Source organism: Homo sapiens, chromosome 2, assembly GCF_000001405.40.
Source record: "Homo sapiens chromosome 2, GRCh38.p14 Primary Assembly".
In the NCBI taxonomy this organism is placed as follows: domain Eukaryota; kingdom Metazoa; phylum Chordata; class Mammalia; order Primates; family Hominidae; genus Homo; species Homo sapiens.
The window spans coordinates 33,580,905-33,601,853 of NC_000002.12; the positions used below are offsets into that span (position 1 = coordinate 33,580,905).

General features: G+C 37.5%; 1 protein-coding gene and 1 long non-coding RNA gene across 4 annotated transcripts in view, besides 5 other annotated features; one reads left to right on the forward strand and one right to left on the reverse strand.

The window, feature by feature from the left end:
* Nucleotides 2,545–3,364: an enhancer, noted in NCBI's record as "OCT4-NANOG hESC enhancer chr2:33808516-33809335 (GRCh37/hg19 assembly coordinates)". NCBI's record gives its function as "activates a minimal SCP1, AML or CMV promoter by ChIP-STARR-seq in naive H9 embryonic stem cells {active_cell/tissue: H9 hESC(naive)}" and the evidence as "EXISTENCE:reporter gene assay evidence [ECO:0000049][PMID:30033119]".
* FAM98A (family with sequence similarity 98 member A) lies at nucleotides 2,756–18,395 on the reverse strand. 2 transcript variants are annotated; one of them, NM_015475.5, is made up of 8 exons: nucleotides 18,265–18,395; nucleotides 14,585–14,733; nucleotides 11,176–11,310; nucleotides 7,431–7,615; nucleotides 6,336–6,416; nucleotides 5,658–5,774; nucleotides 4,626–4,793; nucleotides 2,756–4,540 (listed from the first exon to the last, which is right to left on the reverse strand). In NM_015475.5, exons 1-8 carry the CDS (start codon nucleotides 18,315–18,317, stop codon nucleotides 3,872–3,874), a joined length of 1,557 nt encoding a protein of 518 aa, NP_056290.3. In that variant the 5' UTR covers nucleotides 18,318–18,395; the 3' UTR covers nucleotides 2,756–3,871. The 2 variants fall into 2 exon arrangements, with proteins under 2 accessions (NP_056290.3, NP_001291467.1); NM_001304538.2 differs by lacking the exon at nucleotides 7,431–7,615.
* Nucleotides 17,649–17,838: an enhancer, noted in NCBI's record as "active region_15570". NCBI's record gives its function as "activates an Ori minimal core promoter by ATAC-STARR-seq in GM12878 lymphoblastoid cells {active_cell/tissue: GM12878}" and the evidence as "EXISTENCE:reporter gene assay evidence [ECO:0000049][PMID:35858748]".
* Nucleotides 18,389–18,458: an enhancer, noted in NCBI's record as "active region_15571". NCBI's record gives its function as "activates an Ori minimal core promoter by ATAC-STARR-seq in GM12878 lymphoblastoid cells {active_cell/tissue: GM12878}" and the evidence as "EXISTENCE:reporter gene assay evidence [ECO:0000049][PMID:35858748]".
* LOC105374455 (uncharacterized) overlaps nucleotides 18,441–20,949 on the forward strand; it is a 56,893-nt gene continuing 54,384 nt past the window's right edge. For both annotated transcript variants that reach the window (XR_939941.3, XR_939942.3), the window contains exon 1: nucleotides 18,441–19,934. This is a non-coding gene — a long non-coding RNA (uncharacterized LOC105374455). The remainder of the gene's footprint in view (nucleotides 19,935–20,949) is intronic.
* Nucleotides 18,489–18,538: an enhancer, noted in NCBI's record as "active region_15572". NCBI's record gives its function as "activates an Ori minimal core promoter by ATAC-STARR-seq in GM12878 lymphoblastoid cells {active_cell/tissue: GM12878}" and the evidence as "EXISTENCE:reporter gene assay evidence [ECO:0000049][PMID:35858748]".
* Nucleotides 18,679–18,908: an enhancer, noted in NCBI's record as "active region_15573". NCBI's record gives its function as "activates an Ori minimal core promoter by ATAC-STARR-seq in GM12878 lymphoblastoid cells {active_cell/tissue: GM12878}" and the evidence as "EXISTENCE:reporter gene assay evidence [ECO:0000049][PMID:35858748]".

The following is a 20,949-nucleotide window of genomic DNA, read 5'->3' on the forward strand; positions in this document are numbered from 1 at the left end:
CCCCGGCCTCTTTATTACATTTAGTGGGCAGGGAATGATTTACTGTGGAAGTTCTCATACCAACAGTTATGTTTACTCCAACTTATAACCGCACATCTGCAGGTGACTAAAATTGTGCAAGCGGAAAGTGAGTTCAAACACTGACATGCATACCTGTTTGAATCAGTGATTTGAACCCTAGGAATACATTAGTGTATACAAATATGGAAACCACAGGGAAAAAAAAAGCATTTCTAGTTATTACTATGATAATGAAGAATGAGAAAAACAAGAAAAACAGGAAAATAAGAAGTCATAAAATGCTAAGTATTCTGTGATGAATGTACTTTTTCATTCAGGTAAACTCATTTTTTTATTTAGGTAAAATACAAATAAATACCTAAATTTTATTTAGGTAACCCTCTCTGTTAAAAAACAAATGGATCAAATGCTATCCAAATTACCTAAAGTGGGAGGCGGGGGTATGATTAAATAATATAAACATATTTAAAAACTATTTTCAAAAGGATGTAATATAGGTAGACAAAGTATCCAGAAAGATACAATGGGCACAACCTAAAAATATTTAAGTCTAAGGATGGAGGTAATCTGGGCACTGGGAAATCAATTAAGTATATATAGAAATGATTCAAATGCCTTCCCTCAGCAAGAATTTGCCTATTCTATGTCTACCACAGTTGGACACTAGATTAGTTTGGATCTACAGCAAGAAATAAAAATGATAGTGGTATATCTTTAATAGTTTTCATAGAGAATACTGACATCCTATTCTAGTTCCTAGTAGTAGGAGGAAACAGAACATTAACTAAAGGTACTGTCTGTCTCACTGTATCCGTTTTAAGAGATAACAGTTTAAGATATCATGTTAAAAATTCTCTCCTAATATTTTTCGCTTGTTTCTCCAAGAAATTCTCATATGCCCTATATTCCAGTAAATCATTATTTACAAGTTAAGGTTAAGAATGCATATAAGATCAAAAGATACTCTCTATACAAAACCTAAGAACTTTAATATAACAATAAAACTAACTGGTGGTTTGAAATATCCTGTTTCTAGAGAACTTGATCTATGTTCAAGAGAAAAAACTCAATTCTTTTATGGTTTCAGAATGGGGAGAGGCGGGGGAGGAACAGCAAACGCTGGTAAGGTTCCAGAGAAAAGGGAACACTTATACACTGTTGGTGGGAGTGCAAATTAGTTCAACCATTGTGGAAATCAGTATGGCGATTCTTCAAAGAGCTAAAAGCAGAACTACCATTCGGCCCAGCAATCCCATTACTGGGTATACATCCAGAGGAATATAAATCACTCTACCATAAAGACACATGCACGCATATATTCACTGCAGCACTATTCACAATAGGAAAGACACGGAATCAACCTAAATGCCCATCAATGACCAACTGGATAAAGAAAATGTGGTACATGTACACACCATAAAATACCATATAGCCATAAAAAAGAATGAGATCCTGTCTTTTGCAGGAACAAGGCTGGAACTGGAGGCCATTATCCTTAGCAAACTGACACAGGAACAGAAAACCAAATACCACATATTCTCACTTATAAGTGGGAGCTAAATGATGAAGACGCATGAACACAAAAGAGGGAAACAACAGATAGGGGTCTACTTGAGGGTGGAGGGTGGGAGGAACTAGAGGAACAGAAAAGATAACCTTCGGGTGTTGGGCTTAATACCTGGATGATGAAATAGTCTGTACAACAAACCGCTGTGACACAAGTTTACCTGTATAACAAACCTTCACATGTACCCCTGAACATAGAAGTTTTTTAAAAAATAATAATGTTGGGGGAAAATCTAGTTTGAAGCAGGAGCTGCAGATTTCAGAACTATCAGGGCGAAATGTATCATTTGTGTTCTTACATCCTTATATTCGAAAAAGCAATCTATTAACCGTAAAGATAAATCAAAATATTTTTCAAAAGAATGAAACCTGTATTCATTAGCTATATTGTGGAGTCTGAGGCTACAAAACAGATCAAAGCAAATACTAAATATAAATACATCCTAAGATATGATACATTTAAAATATGAAACCTTGACAATTTTAATAGGAAATCCTATATAAACATAATTACTTAACAGTTTAAAGAAACCAACACAACATTCAAGACAACTTAAAACCTTAACTTACTTTAATGATAAAACACTTGAAATTGTCTTCAAATTTGAACATTTTAAAATAATTGTAAATGTTAGCTGAAAAATAAACAGGTAAAGTTAAAAGGATCAATGTGGGTTTTCAAAGATGGTTTTAGTATTAGAAGAATGTGCTTATCTCAGTAGCAAGTAGATTATTTTAAATGGCATGACATGAGTTGATTCTTTAAAAAAGCCCAATTTAGTAGAAAGGAAATACAATTTCTCTTTTGATAAACATATTTATATTTTCAGTTACTTCCTTTTTTAAAAAAAGTCCCCCAATCTTAGGAAGAATGGAGAAGCAAATAACAAAAAAACCCTAAAAACATTTTTGCCTAGTATGTGTAGCAACAGCTACACCCAGTGGCCAGAGATGAGTGGTGACGGTTTCTAGCTATATTATTATAAAAGGAAAACCTGGAAAGAGCCATTTTTCCATTTATTTAAGGTTTTAGGATAAAAGTCACCTTTCACTAAAATTAGGTTTTAAGGAAATACTCAAGAATCTTTGGGAACAAAAGCCTTAGCTCATCAGCTTGACGCAAGAGTCCAGAATAATTCAGTAGCTAAAATAAAACTCAAACCAAAGAGAGAACTTAACAGATACTTTATTGCTCACCTTTCACACAAAGCACACCTCCAGCCATTTTCTTTCACAGCTTGACAATGTTTACATGTACAAAAACCCAGCAAGAAGCATCATGTCATGTAGATTTCAGTAAGGGAGAATGTAAAACATCAACTCAGCCAGGCTTTTGTTTTCTGCAGCAATAATAAAGGGCCTCCTGCACTTAGCAAAAATCTGTCTTAACTTTGTAGTGCATTTCTTCCATTACAAAAAAAGTTACCTGCTTAAAGCAAACTAACTTGTATTTGCTGAGCCAGTGGTATTAACTCATGCATAAAACAAATTTCGGTTTGCTATTTCTTCTAGCAAATTTCAAGTAAAAATAAGGTTGAAGGAGGAATTTGTTTTGGATGGATGCAGGTCAGTTTGAATTGCTATACTTAACTAAATGCCTACATGTACTATAGCTTCACAACTTAGTTTGCTTTTATAATCTTTATGGATTTTGGCCGTGTTCAAGGTTTTCAGAGTTGAGCATATGATACAGTATTCCATCAACAAAATAAGGCTACTGAATGTGCTATCTGCAAAAGAGCTCATTTAATAGGAACTGACCTAAAAGTTCCATCATGAAGCACACGTGGCATAAAAGTCAACCGGGGGGCAGAACTGTGCTTGGAAAATAGGCATTGGAATACTTTAAGCAAAACACATATAAATGGTTATTCATATGAGGAAGGTTTCCTAGTAGTAAATCTAAAAAAGTCTAGGTGAATCCTCATTTTCAAAACTGCATATTGAAAACATGAAAACTACTTATTCAAGTAATTTCTTCAAAAAAGTTTGCATGTTCTGACTGTGGAATTAGTCTACTGGGCAATTAAAGGCAATTTTAACCACCTTTTAAAAAATTTTTCATAGAAAGGAGAGATGTTATGTGTTTCTCAAATAAACGGCATTATGTAAGTCCAATAAAAAAATCTAACAGAATTGAATGAAGACCTACAAATGCTTATGCCAAGCAGGAATCTGCCTGCCACCTGTGGTCTCACATTAATTCAAAATAGGTGCTGAATTCAGGATTCTGAAACTAAGTTTCTATTACTTGAGCTCTAGCAAAATGTAAGGTTCGGTAGCCTCAACTAGTGTAATGTCTTCCCTGTCCAAATCCAGAATGATTATACTGATAACCTCCATGCTGGAAATGCTGTTCAAATTGACCCCCTTGGTGATAATTCTGGCTCCCTCTTCCTCCCCAGCCTCCTCCCTGGCCTGCACGACCACCTCGGCCTCCACGACCACCTCGCCCACCACGACCACCACCACGATCACCATGGTGCCCGCCATCTTGGTATCTATTGTCCTGCTGGTAGCCACCACCCTGGTATCCACTTCCTGTATATGAAGAAGATGTTTGGAAGCCACCATAACCTCCGCCTTGATAGCCACCACTGCTGTGGCCACCATGATAGCCACCTGGCTGGAAACCTGAATCTCGATAACCACCATCTTGGTAGCCACCTCCTCCACCACTCCCTCCATCTGTCCAGCCTCCTTGATGCTTATTTCCTCTTCCTCCCCCTCGGCCACCATGGTCATAGCCACCACGTCCACCTCTCCCGCCTCCTTGTTCATGACCTCCTCGTCCTCCGTATGAGGAATGTTCATAGCCACCTCTCCCTCCTCCTCGGCCTCCTGTTTGCTGCTGGGGGCCATCTTGCCTCTTCTGCCACGGTGGCATCTCTGGGGGTGGAGGTTCGATTTCATTGGGTCTACCACCTCTGTCAGGCACCCTGCCCATCAACACCTACAGAATAGGAAAGATATTTTAAACTTTTATTTTATGAACAGAAATAAATGCATTTGGAAAAAATTAAAGGTACTCTAATCACCTTATTGATGGCACAGGCAGTCTTTTCTCTTATAGAGCCGCTGCTTGTCCTTAAAATCTTTGACAAGTCCTGCCTTGCAGCCAAAAGATGGGCAACAGAAATAGTAGTTTTAGGGGATAAGACTGAACGTTTCGGCTGGTAAACCTTGGCTAATTTTTCTGTCTGGCTCTGTTGAAAGAAAAGTGTTCAAAGAGAAATGTCAATTTTCAAAATGACATAAGAAACACATATTAAATAAGTTAAAGGTCTCCAAAATATCTGATAATGATATTTACTAGGCTCTAGATGGTAGGAAAAGTTATATACTCACTACTGCTCCTACATAGTCAAGAACTACCTTAAAAGTACAGCTGCCAGACTTGTTGACACAACAAGGAGTGACAGGGACTGTGGGGGCAGGGGTGGAGTGAGAGGGTGCCCCTTTAGGGTTATGAGGCCAACGTGATAAAAAGGTTCCCCCATCATTGGTCTCAGATCAAACATACTCATTTTCTCTATTTAAATATAAGAATATAAAGCTATTTCAACAATTTTGCTTTTTAATTTTCCTATCTTTGGTTTCTATGAGGTAATAACTATCTGCTGAATGACCAAGGTCTTTACCTGGATTGTCTCATTTAGCTGAAAAAAAACTTAAGTCTTACCAAATTCTCCAATTGTCTATAAATCATACCAAATCCAATATTTCTAACTTCTATTAGCAAATTAAATTATTTAAAGTAAACAAGTAATTTGAAATCAATTTATTATTTTAGTAATTTTCAGAATAACTCCATTTCTCTCATAATAAGAACTTCTCTCTCCAATAAGAACTGTAAAATTCAGATTTGTTAAAAAATAGAAAATTGAAAAATAAATGTTTTCATCATTGCTGAATAGTTGAAAGAGCCACTACTCAATAACTCACTAAGGAAAAATCCCTATGTGTGTCTTCTATGTACTTCTCCCATAGTTGCCAAGTAGCTAAATTGTTTAGATGTTCAGGGATCATGTCTATAAATAGTCTGCTCTTTTAAATTATTTAATGTGTACCTTAGCTCTGTCAGACCAGCCAAAGGATTGTACAGTGACATCCAAACGTTTTATTAGCAGCTTTCTCCGGACTTCATATTCATTGGCTATGGCTTGGTTAATTGCTTCTATCTTTTCCTGAAGCAAAATTAAAAAGACTAGTTAGAGTTTAAATCTGCTTGATTCTCTGTCCCAAAAGGGCAAAAACTACGTCTGTGTCATTCATAACTGAGATCCCGGCCATTTAACAGTCAAAAGTTCTTATTCCATATAATATACTAACAATTAATGAAATGATAGGTGACAAAAAGCTGATTCACAAAACATAATGAAGAGTATGTGAAGTACACAATTCTTATTTATCTTTCCCATAATTTACTGTGTGAAGCTCAGCCCAGTGAAGTTTTTGGCTTGAAGGCAATCCATTTGGCAACGAGAAACATGCACCATACTTAATTTCAGTTTACTTTTATCAGCTGTGTGAAATATTTACAAAGTATGAGAAAAGTGCTTCTAATCTTACACAAATAAAAATATTCTGCAGAAATCCTGAGATTCACAAAATGATTCTAAGGGTGTTCAACTAGAAAACTATGTATAAGAAAACATAATTTAAAAAGCACAAAATGTAAGTGTTGACATGAAAATCATAAACTCTATAGTTCTTTACAAAGTTTACTCAAGATGATTACTACTCACCCAGTGGGCTGGTCCCATTGGCTTCTTCAGTAAAGGCTTTCCCACATGATTAGGTGGAACTTTTGCTAATGTTTCCTTTAACTGACACAAAAACATAAATAAATGAATAAAAACTCTAAAAGTAAAACATCCTCATCTTCCCAATTCCCATCATATCTTGCCATCAAAAGAAGATTCCTGACAGAGGCAAAGGTGGAGGATGTTTTGAAATGCAAATGTAAAAGACCCACAAGATAAAGACACTCACTGGTCCCACTCCTCACGCCTACAGAAGTCCTTCATTGCACCTAGAACAGTGCCTGACAACAGTAGGCACTCAATGAACATTTGCTGAATGGATGAATGAACACACAGGAAAATATGGACTATGGATACACTGCTGCTCCCCTGTAGAGTTCAGCCAAATTTGTGCATCATGGTGCTGGTCTACCCCACAATGCAAATGTACCAATTCTTAAGAGTCCAGCAGATAAGCGTATAGGGAATAACTGTGCTTTAACAAATACCGTTCTCTTCTACTCATTTTTGTTAAAATTGCTTGTTCCTAATTAATTATATAGAAAATCTTAACTGATAATGTGTGGTATAAAAATAATTCTAATTTCTTTTCACATACTAGATTATGTTAGCAGTCAACAAATCTATTTTGTCAATTGAAGCATGAGGTTTGAAGTGACTGGATTAAAAAACAAAAATATTAATATCCTTTCTGTCCAGTCAATGGGGAGGAGGGTGGTAACATTTAGTGATAAAGAACTTAAATTGACTGTATCAAAGTTCAATGATAAAATAATTTTTAAAAGGACTGAAATCTTAATCCTTTTTACATTATATCTAGCTTACTTTAGCTTACAAACCAGTGTAAAGTTTCCTTTTTGAAAAAGAAACATGCTAACATGTTTTTAGGAAAATACTAAAATACTAATTTATCTTTAAGGCATCTAGGATTTAAAACCCAAAACTCATTTCGTAACAATTACTTAATAATATATGCACATTAGGTTCCCATTAAGAGAAATTAAATTAATTGCTTCATTTCAAACAAATGTAGGACTATGCCTTTAATACACTACAATTTGGTACTAAAGGTCTTACTTTTTTTTCAATCCCGCTGAAGAATTGGAACATAGTTATATTGGCTGGAGGTTTGGACATTCCTAGAGCAATACATATGCCTTTCAACTCTTGAAAGACCTCACTACCGCCTCCTTCTTGAGCTTTTTTTGGAGGAGCATTCACACAGAGCATTCTGGCAGCTTCTAGTTCTGAGATGAGGTATGCTGAAGTAAACAAAATAAGATTTCAAAATGAGATACAGCTATAGTTATAGTCATAAGTCTGGAGTCACAACTATATAGACCTATTGATATGTAACTGTTAAAGCTGCAAGAATGGATAAAAACAAGAAAGAAAAACTACTTTTACCTGCAAATGAAATAAGAAATAAACTGGTTATGTAATTCAGTTATTTAAGCGATATATAATGTTTAAATGTTAATTTTAAAATAAGCGATTCTCTTTGAAACCGAAGGATCGAGGTAAGTAACATCTAAAAATTTGGAATCTTGAATTCTGGTATTAAGGAACCTCCAGAACAGGGGTTGGCATCTGTTAAAAATTTTGCAAAAGAAGGCAGGTGACCAATTTTTAATGACAATTAATTTTTTTTTTTTAACTTCTCACTACTTGTGAGCATCAATGACACAACTACCTTGCTCTCTTGTCTCCCATTAATTAGGAGCCTGTCCAGAAGAGGTGTGAAACAACATTTATAAGAAGTCAAAGCTTAACTCACAGGAGAAGCAGGAAGGCACCCCAGAGCTCCTTTCCCATGGTCTCCAAATCTTATGTTGCCCTCTGGCTAATCAAAGAGAGCCCTCTTTCATCTATATTCTTCTCAGGACTCCCTTCCCCCTACTTTCCTCACCCCATTCCCTTCAAAACAACCATAAAACCTTCAAAGCACTTTTTGGCATGGTTCCCTTTGTGTCAGTATCATCCCCTTGTGTGCTGATTTCAGCCTGGTATAATGGGGGCTGCAATCTGTTTCAGGTAATTCAGTTGAAGGTATAAATATTCAATCTCATTCCTTTAACATTCCCAAGGACATTTCAATTTTTATAAAAGATGATTAAGAATCATTTGAATCTTAGGATTTCTGGTTATGTGACAAAGTGAGATTCTTCTGACAATATAACAAAACCAGTTTTGGGAAAAGATATTTTCAAGGCCCTCAGGTCCTATTAGAAGTAGAAAAAAGTCAACTTGTGTATCAAATTTCCTATACCCAAAATGTAATGCTAGAAGGACAGAGGCCATAATTTTGGCAAATCATTTCTGAAAGGCTGCCAACTCCTGTTCTAAAACAATAAATACAGCTAAGTTTCTGGAAAGGTCATTCTAAATGGATTTGACACTGTAAAATCTTAACATGTTCCATACAGCAAACTGTATTTATGAGTTAAAACGTCAAAACAGTAAAACCCCACTGTTAAGACAACAACCACTGTTTTTGTACATAAGGTTTCATTAGGACACTGCCACACTCACTCATTTATATATTGTCTATGGCTGCTTTCATGCTGTAACAGCAAAGGTATGTAGTTGTGACAGAGAACTTAGGGCCACAAAGCCAAAAATATTTACTATCTGGCCCTTTTAGAAAAAGTTTGCCAACTCTTGTTCTAGAAAATCATATACTATATGATTTAATATATTGGTTCTGTAAATTTGGGATAACATAGTTCAGGTATTCACAAAATTAGGTTACCAATATAATTATCATGAAAAAACTTTAATCGTAATCAGTATGTTCAAAGCACTGGGAAAGGCACTGAAGATAACATTTTTTAAAACATCAAAAAGATGACCTCTTCCGATAATCTAGTTAGGAATAAAGAGTATATGCAAAAATAAAAGATGAATAGTTCTTCATCTATTAGGAACTCAGACATCTTACTTAATTTACGTAAGGGCAACACTCTGAGAACCATAAAAGGCCAATGAAGAGCCAAACAGAGTCCTTAATCTGATACATGAGAGCTTTTCAGCCTCTCACTCAAAGGCTATTCTATTTTTCCAACAATTCTAATGAGGCTGGTTTGTTTTCCCCCCTAAAATACAATGTGATAAAAGATTCAAGTTAGTGAGGTAAGGGTGCTGGAAAAGTAAAATTATAGCATCCAGATGTGACAACTGATACTTCAAAAGATGAGAAATATTTACATAGACCAAGTCAAAAATGAGTACATGTAGGTAAATGCTAGAATGAAAGAGAGGTTACAAACTGGGGAGAATATTTTAGAAAGGGAGAATCGGCAGAAGCAAAGATAAAGAGGGAAACAGTGTGTATATATGTATGTATGAAGAATATAAAAAGTGAGTGACCTCTAGATGATTTAGTCATTTAATTGAAGAGCAAATAGTGGTATATTCTTGAAAAGCATTTGAGGTGATGATAGCAGATTAAAATAAAGTCTAGAATTATGACCCTGAGTCCAAAATAATGTTCACTGAAGTCTGCTTAAGAAACAGAAAAGTGTGAAAGGCATTTTATACTTACATTCAAGTGGTTTGTATAAGTATCAGTGCTAAAAAGGCCAAACTCTGAGCTCTTTGGAAGAATTAGCTATTCAGGGTCATTAGTAAGCATTCCACACAGCTATTATCTTCCTATGTAGATAACATATTCTAAGTGCCAAATATTGGTAAAGGATAAGCAATGCTATAAAGGAAGAATCAGCTGAGTATACTGCTATTGAATCAGTTACAGAAATTGTACAATATGAAGAATATTAAATGAATATGTAAGAACTACCAGCAGCAATATCAGTATCTAAAGCAACACCTAACCTTACGTGCACATTCCCACAATAACAATCATTTGACAGACAAAGGGGAAGTTACAAAAGTGATTCTGGAATAACTTAGTGCCTAAGTATAATGGCTATGAACACTTTTTTTTTTTTTAACAGAACCTTAAAAACTGAAGTTGTATAATTTTTTCAGAAACCATAATAGAGTTGTAAAAACAAAGATTTTAAAAATCCTCTGAATTGTCTGTCATAATGAGAACTATAATAGCCAGTTAACCAAAGCTTAATGTAAATGTGCTTCAGAATGCTACATAAATTCTGAGTTAAGACTATAGGTTGTATTTATTGGAAAGTTTATAGAAGGCAATAAAATTTTTGAATCTACTTACTGTTTTTCAGTGTGAAGAGACAAAACAGTAGTAAGTATGTAAAAAACATGGAAGGAAAGAACTTTTCATAAAAACTCATTTCTCAGAATAAGTACCAGAACAATGCAAGTATTATTCCAGAATATTTACAAACAAAACCAAAATCCCCAATTACCCAACCACAAAGAAATAGCAACAAGACAAAATACTTTAAATTACATTAACCATTAACTGTATCTACTATTATAAATGCTTACTCTCCTCAAAGAAATGAATTTCTAAACAAAATCTCCATTATTTCCATACTATCTTCCTAATATACTTAAAAATGTGCTTCTAGTCTAAAATGTAAGTTTAATGATCACACACTTGAGCAACACTCCAAAACTACCAGTGATCACATTAGGAGAAGCACAACGGCCTGAGTACCACTGAGGCTGAAATATTGAAAGAGTATCAGTTACAAAAACAATAATGCTACCAGTGCACACGTCTACCCTCAGCTCCTAAATTGGAAATTTAAGAAAGTTTTATTTTAAAATGAATTTTGAATTACATTCATAATGAAATAAACAAACAAAAAACCATGGTCAGTTTATTAGTCATGGAAAACATAAACAGAAAGTAATAGCTATATTCTAGTAGCCATGAACTTACTGAGCAAGAGGAGGCAGTTCTTCTGAATGAGAAGGCGCTTGGTCACATCCCCAGATGTCAGTGAAAGATACGGGCAGTTCATCTCCCCTAGTAGCCCACTCACCTCAAGCTGGAATTCTTCAGCTTCACTCGGACCTTTTAAGAATTAAAATAATCTTATTTAATGATAGTGATTATTTTTCCATTAGCATAACAATTATTATATATAATTGAAATTGTTAATAGGATTTTCATAACTTGAGTTTTTTCCCCTTCTAATTTATCCTTTCTTACACCACTGCAAAGTTTCTTCTTTTTTTTTCTTTTTTGAGATAAGGTCTCTGAGGCCTAGGCTGGAGTGCAGTGGTGTGATCAGGGCTTACTGTAACCTCAAACCCCTGGGCTTGAAGGATCCTCCTGTTTAAGTCTCCGGAATAGCTGGGCCTACAGGTGTATGCTACCATGCCTGGCTAATATTTAGAAAATTCTTTTGTAGAGACTAGGTCTCAGTATGTTGTCTAGGTTAGTGTCAAACTCCTGGCCTCAAGTTATCTTCCCACCTTGGCGTCTTCAAGTGCTGGGATTACTACAGGCATGAGCCACTGCTCCCAATCTAAAATTTTCTTTCTCAGTGTTCATTAGGTCATTCTCTTATTTGGGAGTCTTTAATGGTTCCCTAATTTCTCCCTCATCCAATCTGATTTTTTTCTGTCTGCTTTTAAAGATTCTTCATAGCTGCTTAGGTTTGTTCTTCCTAGCATATTCAGCTATAATCACCTACATTCCCTCCACAAATATTTCCTGTGTGTGCCAGGCCAGTCTCCTCACTGTCCCATGAATAGCCAGTCTTATTTCCACTCTGTGCCTTCATTTAAGTTATTCCCTGTGACAGATATGTCCTCTACTCTCTTCCCCTCTAGCAAATCCCACCCATCCATCAAAGCCCAGTGGCCTTGCTCCTTGATGAAACCTTCCTTGTACTTGGCTGAAACTTCACCCTCGTACTTGCTGATTTCCTCTCTCTGTGAACCACAAAGTGGTTCAGCATTTAAGTACTGTACTTGGCCGGGCACGGTGGCTCATGCCTGTAATTCCAGCACTTTGGAAGGCCGAGACGAGTGGATGGTTTGAGTTCAGGAGTTCGAGACCAGCCTGAGTAACGTGGCAAAACCCCGTCTCTAAGAAAAATAACAAAAATCAGCCAGTTGTCGTGGCACATGCCTGTAGTCCCAGCTACTAAGGAGGCTGACCTGGAGAATTGCTTGAACCTGGGAGGCAGAGGTTGCAGTGAGCCCAGATCGCGCCACTGCACTTCAGCCTGGGTGACAGAGTGAGATCTTGTCTAAAAACAAACAAACAAAAGGACTGTACTTATCTCCAGTTGTTTAATTTGTGCCTAACATTCTCAATTAGAAAAAATTTGAAGACAGCAAACATGACTTACAGTCTTGTATTCCCACAGCATATAAAAAAAGGTATAGAGTTCACTGGGTGAACCAAAGGAAAAACAAAGCTCTTTCTTCATTATTTTGATTGTTCTCTATTCACTATCACAAAGGGGAAGAAATTAACAAACTCTGAGAGAGTCACTTGATCACCTGAGTCCATTTTCTAATCTGTAATACAGGAAGCCTACATTATGAATATTTTGCAAACTGTGATCTGTGAGCCCTTGAGTTCCACAGAGCTCTTTTAGAGGCAGCTGGGAGGATGAGGAGGAAAGAGCTGGGCTAAAGGTACCTCGTCTCTACTTTGTTAGAATACCTTCTAACCTGTTTTACATGTTAGCTTCTGTATCATGTTTCATTTGAGAAAAAGGGGCTCCAGGTTAAATAGAGGTATCATCTAGTACTGGTGTTTTCAAAGGTTCCTACAGTCTCTCAAACATCTGGTCAAGAGGCAGTATAGCACAGTGTTCAAGCACACTGGCTCAGAACTTGACTACTGTTCTGGGGTTGAAACCAGGCTTCACCCCTACAGGTTGTATGACCTCAGGCAATGTATTTAAATTCTCTGGGCTTTCTTGTTAAAGGTATAACAGTAATAAAACCTGCCTCATAGGGTTGCCCTGAGGTTTAATGAGTTAACACATATAAAGTGTTTAGAACATAGTGAGTACACAATAAATGTAAGCTGTTGCTATCATTACTGTTACACTATACTCTCCTTAATAATTAGAACTGAATGCAACTAACACGTACACATTAAATATACCAGCATGCAAGCCATCATCCTCCACAAACTAACACAGGAACAGAAAAAAAACACCACATGTTCTCACCACTAAGTGGGAGTTAAAAAATGAGAACACATGGACACAGGGAGGGGAACAACACACACCAGGGCCTGTTGCGGGTTAGAGGGTGAGGAGAGGGAACTCAGAGGACAGGTCAATAGGTGTAGCAAACCACCATGGCACACGTATCCCTATGTAACAAACCTGCATGTTCTACACATGTATCCCGGAACATAAAGTTAAAAAAAAAAAAAAAAAAAAAAAAATTATATATATATATATACACACACACACACACACACACACATACATACACACATATATATATACACACATATATATACACATATATATATACACACATATATATACACATATATATATACACACATATATATACACATATATATATACACACACACACACACACACTAGCATGCAAGAAGGTGAGCTCTTCAAAACGTGATTATGTGGAAAAAAAGGAATTATATGTATAGCTCTCCATAAGGGTGGGTTAACAGGTGAGTATTTTCCTTGGTCTCCTATTATAGGTTTACCTACAGCAGGAAGGAACCAGATGGTAGAGTGGTAGGTTCCAAGCTTTTGCCTCTTTTGCAGTGTCGACAAACTAGTGCAACAGTGGAAACAAAATTGGTAAATGCAGAACAGCTCTCAGATCCATAAATTTGATTGTCCTGGATCTCACTGTGATGTATCTAACGATGCATTCTTATGATAAACAAAATGTCTTAACAAAGTGTTCTCTTTCTCCCCAAGCATAACAGAATAATAATGCATTTACTCTACATGCTATAGATGCTTCTAGAATCTGGTAATCCTAAAAGAAAAATATCCCAGTATCTAGTTCTAGCCATCAATCTAGGATCTTACATTTAACATCTTACAAAATATAGGAAGTTCATACATTCTATGCTTGTGGTCTCCATTTCTCTGTATCCCAGTAATAGGGTCTTTTCAGCATCCACGAATTTTTAAGTTACATGACTTTATTCTGGTATTTCAACTTCTGAATCACCTCTAAAAACAACGGACGGAAAAAAAATCTTGGCTTCTTTACAAATTTTTTACATTTACAAAAACTTGCAACTTTCAGCTTTAGTATTGATAATGTTCAGTTGACAATACCTCAATGTTATTTTTATACTTTGTACCTAAAAGTGAATGTTTACTTACTGTTAGTTGCTTGCACGTTTTCCTCTAGTTTACAGAGCACTCTTAATTCAGACACCAGCCAAGCACAGAGTTTGGTAAACTCGGGGGAACTGGCTCCAGCAGAGACTGCCTGAGAGAGCGCTCCATCTTCCAACAATGGGCCCTTGTAACTGGTGAGCAAGAAATTACATTTCAGAAGAAAATACAATCATACCTAATATATTACAGATAAAACATATCTATGTCTTATTTATATAAGCAATAATTTAATAAAGATAAGTTAGTACTTATCTTTATTTTAAATGGACAAATATAAACATAATTTAGAACTATACTGAACCATTACAAAAAGCAGCTAAATGGTAGCTGCATTTCAACCTTTCAAAATGTAGGTGAATATCTAACAGAATTGCATATACTACTAAATTATGTCAACTTCTGTACATTTACTAAAAGCTTCCATTGTAAAAAGATTTATTTTCTTACTGTAATTGAATTGAGTATTAAAAGCAAATTAACAAGTAATAGCTAATTATACTGTAACTTATTTCAGAAATAAAACTTAGGTTATCTTTTCTAAAAATTTTCCAGAAAACAACTAGATTATGTTTTTATTTTGAGATGAGGTCTTGCACTGTCACATAGGCTGAAGTGCAGTGAAGGCACAAGCCACCAAACCTGGCTTTTTTTTTATTTTTTATAAAATAGCCAGGGGTCTTACTATGTTGCCCAGGCTTAGTTAGGTTTTTAATGACTTCCTTTAAAAGTAAAAACTTTCCAGTTAACCATTTATATCATTTTTATAAATTTAATGCCAGTTAAGACTAGTAAGACATTCTAGTACCAAAGAAACGTCAGGTTAGGTTAATAAATATTGGCAGTTAATGAACTGGCGCATCTGAATCCTAATCCTTTGTAAGTGATTCCAATATAATTTTAAAAAATTTAAAAATGTTCAAACATTCATAAAAGATGACAGTCATAATGAACTCCAATCACCAATATTCTAAAATATAAGATTTCTGTCACTCCAAGTAATCTTAAATACATATTATTCAGATTGCTTTACATTCTCTTAAATATTGATAATAATGCTTACTTAAGATGATACAATAAATATGCTTAAGATAATATAATGTTTAGGCCAGGCGTGGTGGCTCACGCCTGTAATCCCAGCACTTTGGGAGGCCGAGGCAGGTGGATCACGAGGTCAGGAGACCAAGACGATCCTGGCTAACACGATGAAACCCCATCTCTAATAAAAATACAAAAAAATTAACCAGGCATGGTGGAGGGCGCCTGTAGTCTCAGCTACTCAGGAGGCTGAGGCAGGAGAATGGCTTGAATCCAGGAGGCAGAGCTTGCAGTTAGCCGAGATCGCACTACTGCACTCCAGCCTGGGCGACAGAGCAAGACTCCGTATCAAAAAAAAAAAAAAAAAAAGATAATATAATGTTGAGAACTACAGGTATGTTAGAGAAATGACAGTTCTCAAACCCTTTAAAATATGATTATAGGTTTATACAGTATATGCAACAAAATGAAAACAAATCATACATAAAAAAATGAGATCACATGTAGTCTGGCATCTAGATTTATAAACTATGTATTATTAGACACTGAAATCAAAAGACTAGGCCTAGAAGTTTCTCCTTGAGTTTCACATTTAGACTTCATTAGTTTATTCAACAAGTAGTTACTGAATTCCTACTGTGTGCCAGGTAAGAGATAAAAGATGACTATTTGCCAGGATCAGTGGCATACACCTGTAGTCCCAGCTACTCCGGAGCCTGAAGTGGGAGGATCGCTTGAGGCTAGGAGTTCGAGACCAGCCTGGTCACCAGAGCAAGACCTCATCTCTTAATAAATAAATAAATAGAAAAGGTAGTCATTTAATTCTAATATTTCTCAGTTAATCCTTTAAAAGTACATTTCAGTTAATTAAGGCTGACTTTTAATATTTGAATGCCACCAAACTAAGTAGTTAAGGTTAAAATTTATAACAGTTTTCAGAAAATCCATGGTTTACATTACACTCTATGTCAAGTAGTTATGTGATTACAATTACTACAGTAACAATTACTTGTACAGTACCCAAAAGAATAAAAAGTTAAAAAAAGGAGGGGGAAAAAAAAAGACAATAATGGGAAGAAACAGCATCCGTGGCCAATTCTTAAGTGACCACTATCCATGCAGAAAGACTACATTTAATAAGGTCTACCCCCTTCCTTTCATTCCACTCATTCCACTACAGTACTATAGTGTCATTTATTCCAGAAAGAAGCTTCTAGGATTTCATTTCCTTTCCCAGTAAAGGGACCCTCCTCAGGGCTCCTCACAGCATATTTTCCCAGTATCCTGTGAACCCCTCTTCCACCTCACCTTGTACTCTAAGGGCCTAACACTGCCACAAAGAAACTGTTCCTAAAAAAGTCCTAATGAATGAATGGTTTCATGTGTGAACAAGCGATTCAGTCTGAGATGTCAACTAAAGAGACTATTTTGCTGAATGACTTTAACATATGCCCTAATGAAAGAAAGAAGCCCCCTAAAGTCTGGAATATTTATAAAAATTCAGAGCAAGTTTCCAAGAAAAGAACAATAGTATTTCACTGTGACAAAGACAGATGATAAGCAAGACTACTTCGTTCCTAAAAATTTCTACTAGGGTAGTAAATTATTCAAATAGGCAGACTTTGGGAATCCTCAAGGTGTTTTTTCCTAAAGAAAGGTTTCTCTCAAAGGTTTCCTTGTCATGGAAAAACCTAAGAGAAAATTTTGATAAAGAACTTGTTACTTAGAAATACAGCTAGCTAAATCTGTACTTTGTTTTGATACCGTACCTGTAGGTAAGTATCTAACCATACAATTTGTTTCTGGAACCACATTTAGCCCAAGAGGGTCCACGTTCTCAAGTTTAATAGAGTACACTGATCTGGGTGACCCAGTGAGATAACAAACCCTATTTCCAGCTTCTAGATACTGATGAATTATGGTTGAATAAATATCAGGAGAAGGAGAGACACAATGCAAAACAAATACGCAGGTTCTTCGTGGGTGAAGACGACCCTGGTCTAATGGGGCTCAACGAGGCAGAGTATCACAGAGTCAAAGCAAACTGCTGGTGGTTCCCAGGGACGTGGTGATAGGTTAGATGCACAAGCGAGCTGGCCAGCGGAACAGATGCAGCGCCCATACAAGTGGCTTAGCGAAGCCTGGGTGCATGCAGAGATGACTGGGCAAAGGAGAAATTTTGAGAGAAGTGGGGTGGGGTAGGAGGAGGGGCTCAAGATGGGAGTAGGAAATTTGGAGAACAAGTAGGAAAGCAGAATCAACTTTGGCAACCTTTAGAGTTGAGGGGTTAAGGGGTAGGGCAGGAGGATGAAGCGAGGAGAGAAGCTCGGGGAGTGGGGGTGGCGAAAATCAGAGCCCAGACAATGACACGCATGACTGACAAACGCTGCGGGTAGCTCGCCTGCAGGGAGCACTGGGCAGGCCTAGGGGTGTTGGGATTGGAGGACCCCGAGCTAGCAGTGCAGACAGTGGACGTGGCATTGGGGGTGCCGGGGCCAAAGGGAAGCGACAGCCAGGAGCCACGGGGTGCGGCGTGGAGAGGCAGGTGTCTCAGACTGGGGCGCAGGAGGTGTTCCCAGGGGGCCGGCAGCGTGGGGCTTGGGAGACCCGTGCCCTGACAATCTTACCCTAGATCTTCCAACGACTCCAAGATGTCAGTCTCCATGAGGTCACACTCCATGCTACTGTGGTATTCAAATTTCCGAGTCGTCAGGCTCCCCTCTTCGCCGGCAACGCGTACACTCGCGCATGCGCGACTTCCCCGGAACTTCCAAATCCACAGCTGGCGCCTCAGCTCCCGCACTGCGCATGTCCGGAGCGTGCGCAAGAAACTTGGTCCCACTGACCGCCCCACCCCTGCCCACTAAAGAATTACAGGGCCCGCAGTTTTGCACATGCGCGTTACTGGATCGTGAAGCTAGCCGCCCAGAGAAGGGTAGGAGGACCGGCTGCGTGGCAGCTGGGCGTGGGGACCACGCGAAGGGGAGCGCTCTCGGCTCTCGTTATTGGGTGTACGCATGTGCGAATGTAGGGGGCGCGGCGGGCCGGGAAGGAGCTTGGAAGAGTCTCGGGACGCGGGTGGAGTCGGCTGTTAAACCGAGTCTCTGCATCCCAGACAGGAGATCGGGTGGCTCTTCGTAGGGTGCCGGCATGTGCTAGCCTTAGCTTGCAGGTCATGTAGAAAGGGAGAATTCTTGCGCTCCCGTCTTCAGGACGCGGGTGCGGGCCAAGTGCAGACGGCAGATAGCGTGCCATTTGATTTCCTCGTGGCTGCAGTAGCTTTATTTCAGGGTTAGGGATGAGCCAACTTTCCGCAGACTATGGATGTTCAGAAAGTTGGGTCGTTTTCCCTCATGCATTCTCTACCTGATGTCTAAAGCCCTTCCCAGACACTAAGCATGTTATTTTAAGGAGAAGGGGAGCTTCACTCCATAGCAAATAGAATAGAATATTTTTAAATCCACGTAGTTTAGACAGTGAATAAACTTTTTGGCTGTACTGTCATTACTTTTGACATTATTTGCCCGGGTGAAACATTGAGTTCACGATGTGGATGTGTTGTGATATCTTGGCAGTTACTGAGGGTGTGTTTAGAAATTACTGAAAAATCAGAAATGTTTTCAAAGTGATGGCATATTTAGAAAACTATATTTAACCATAAGTTGGCGTACTGTTAAATCGTGTAGGCATTTAATTAAAGAGTTTTCATATTGATACCTGTTGATTTTATTCTATAGTTCTCAAGCATTTTTGTGTCTGATGGATAGATGTTCCTATCCTTAGTAGTACCTTTTTCTTTTCTTTCTTTTTTTTTTTTTTTTTTTATGAGACGGAGTCTTGCTCTGTCGCTCAGGCTGGAGTGCAGTGGTGCGATCTCGGCTCACTGCAAGCTCCGCCTCCCGGGTTCACGCCATTATTCTGCCTCAGCCTCCCAAGTAGCTGGGACCACAGGCGTTCACCACCACACCCAGCTAATTTTTTGTATTTTTAGTAGAGACGGGGTTTCACCATGTTAGCCAGGATGGTCTCGATCTCCTGACCTTGTGGTCCGCCCACCTTGGCCTCCCAAAGTGCTGGGATTACAGGCGTGAGCCACCGCGCCCGGCCAGTAGTACCTTTTTCAGTTTCCTTATTTTGCATCATCTGAAGTGGGGGTAGGTTTTCTGCACTTACCATGGGCACTTGATATGGCCCATTATGATGCAGTCACCATAAGGCTGTGTGAATATTAGTCACATTCTACAGATGAGGACACTAAGGCTGAGTGGCTTAATAATCTTCAGCGATCTTAATGCCTGTAAGTATGAAACTAGATTTTGAGATTGAGGTATATCTAAATCCATATTCCTTCTTTTTTGACTAGTCAAATAAGGATTTATACGCAGGATGTGAAAAGAGGAAAATTTAGCTAGTTGAATTTGTTTAAACTTGTATATATTGTACATAATTACCTTATAATAATTGAATAATTATTTTCCTCATAGGGTTGTTGAAGGTGCTAAACAAAAAGTCATGCCTAATACAAAAATCAATTTTGAAAGAAAAAGGGTTTCATTCTTGACTCACTTTTGATGTAAGCTGTGTTCAATATTGAACTAATATTGAATATAATATTGTGTTCAATATTAGTGAATGAACGAGTGATGACTTCCCTAAAAGTATTAGTATTCCCTTTCTTTCTTTAAAAAAAATCCAGCTTTTGCAGGAATAGTATTCTCTTTCTAATTCACATCGTTAGCTTAAATGAAGGATTGCTGATATGAAATTTTTATATATTATGGTTTAAAGGAATTCTACAATGGCTTTCTCTGCAATTAAAAAAAGCTTTTAAATACTACTTAAACAAAATTGTGTTCCCTACCAGGCAGGCTCAGAAAGAAAGAAAAAAAATTGTCATCATTTTAATGGGATCTACGAGGAATCTTTTGCATTTTATTTAGAAATTATTTATGTTTATAATGGAACCTGATATCTGAAGACCTCTTTGAAACTGAGTTTACTAGAATGAAAGGAACAATGATTTGGAAGTGAGGAAGCTCTGGTTTTTGCATCAGATCAGTATAAGAAAGAATTTTTCTAACACTCTAAGAGTAGTCTTAAAGTGACTTAGGTATCGTTGAGAGATGATGAGCTTCCTGTCTAGAAGGTGTTCACCTAGAGGCTGAATAATTACTTAAGGGTACTCTTGTGAGAAGGCACACCCACAAGTGCCAGCACATGCCCTTTTACTGATGACTTTGATTCTAGATTCTTTCTCAAAAAAGAATATAAAATACCAACTTAAAACCCTTCTAGGGTCTGGCGCGGTAGTT

Excerpts from the sequence above, each read along its gene's own strand:
- FAM98A (NM_015475.5), bottom strand. The coding sequence starts at position 18,317 with ATGGAGTGTGACCTCATGGAGACTGACATCTTGGAGTCGTTGGAAGAT. Across the intron at positions 11,311-14,584 it reads AAACGTGCAAGCAACTAACA|GTCCGAGTGAAGCTGAAGAA; the intron begins GTAAGTAAACAT and ends AATTCTTAAAAG. Across the intron at positions 4,794-5,657 it reads GCTGGTCTGACAGAGCTAAG|AGCCAGACAGAAAAATTAGC; the intron begins GTACACATTAAA and ends TTCTTTCAACAG.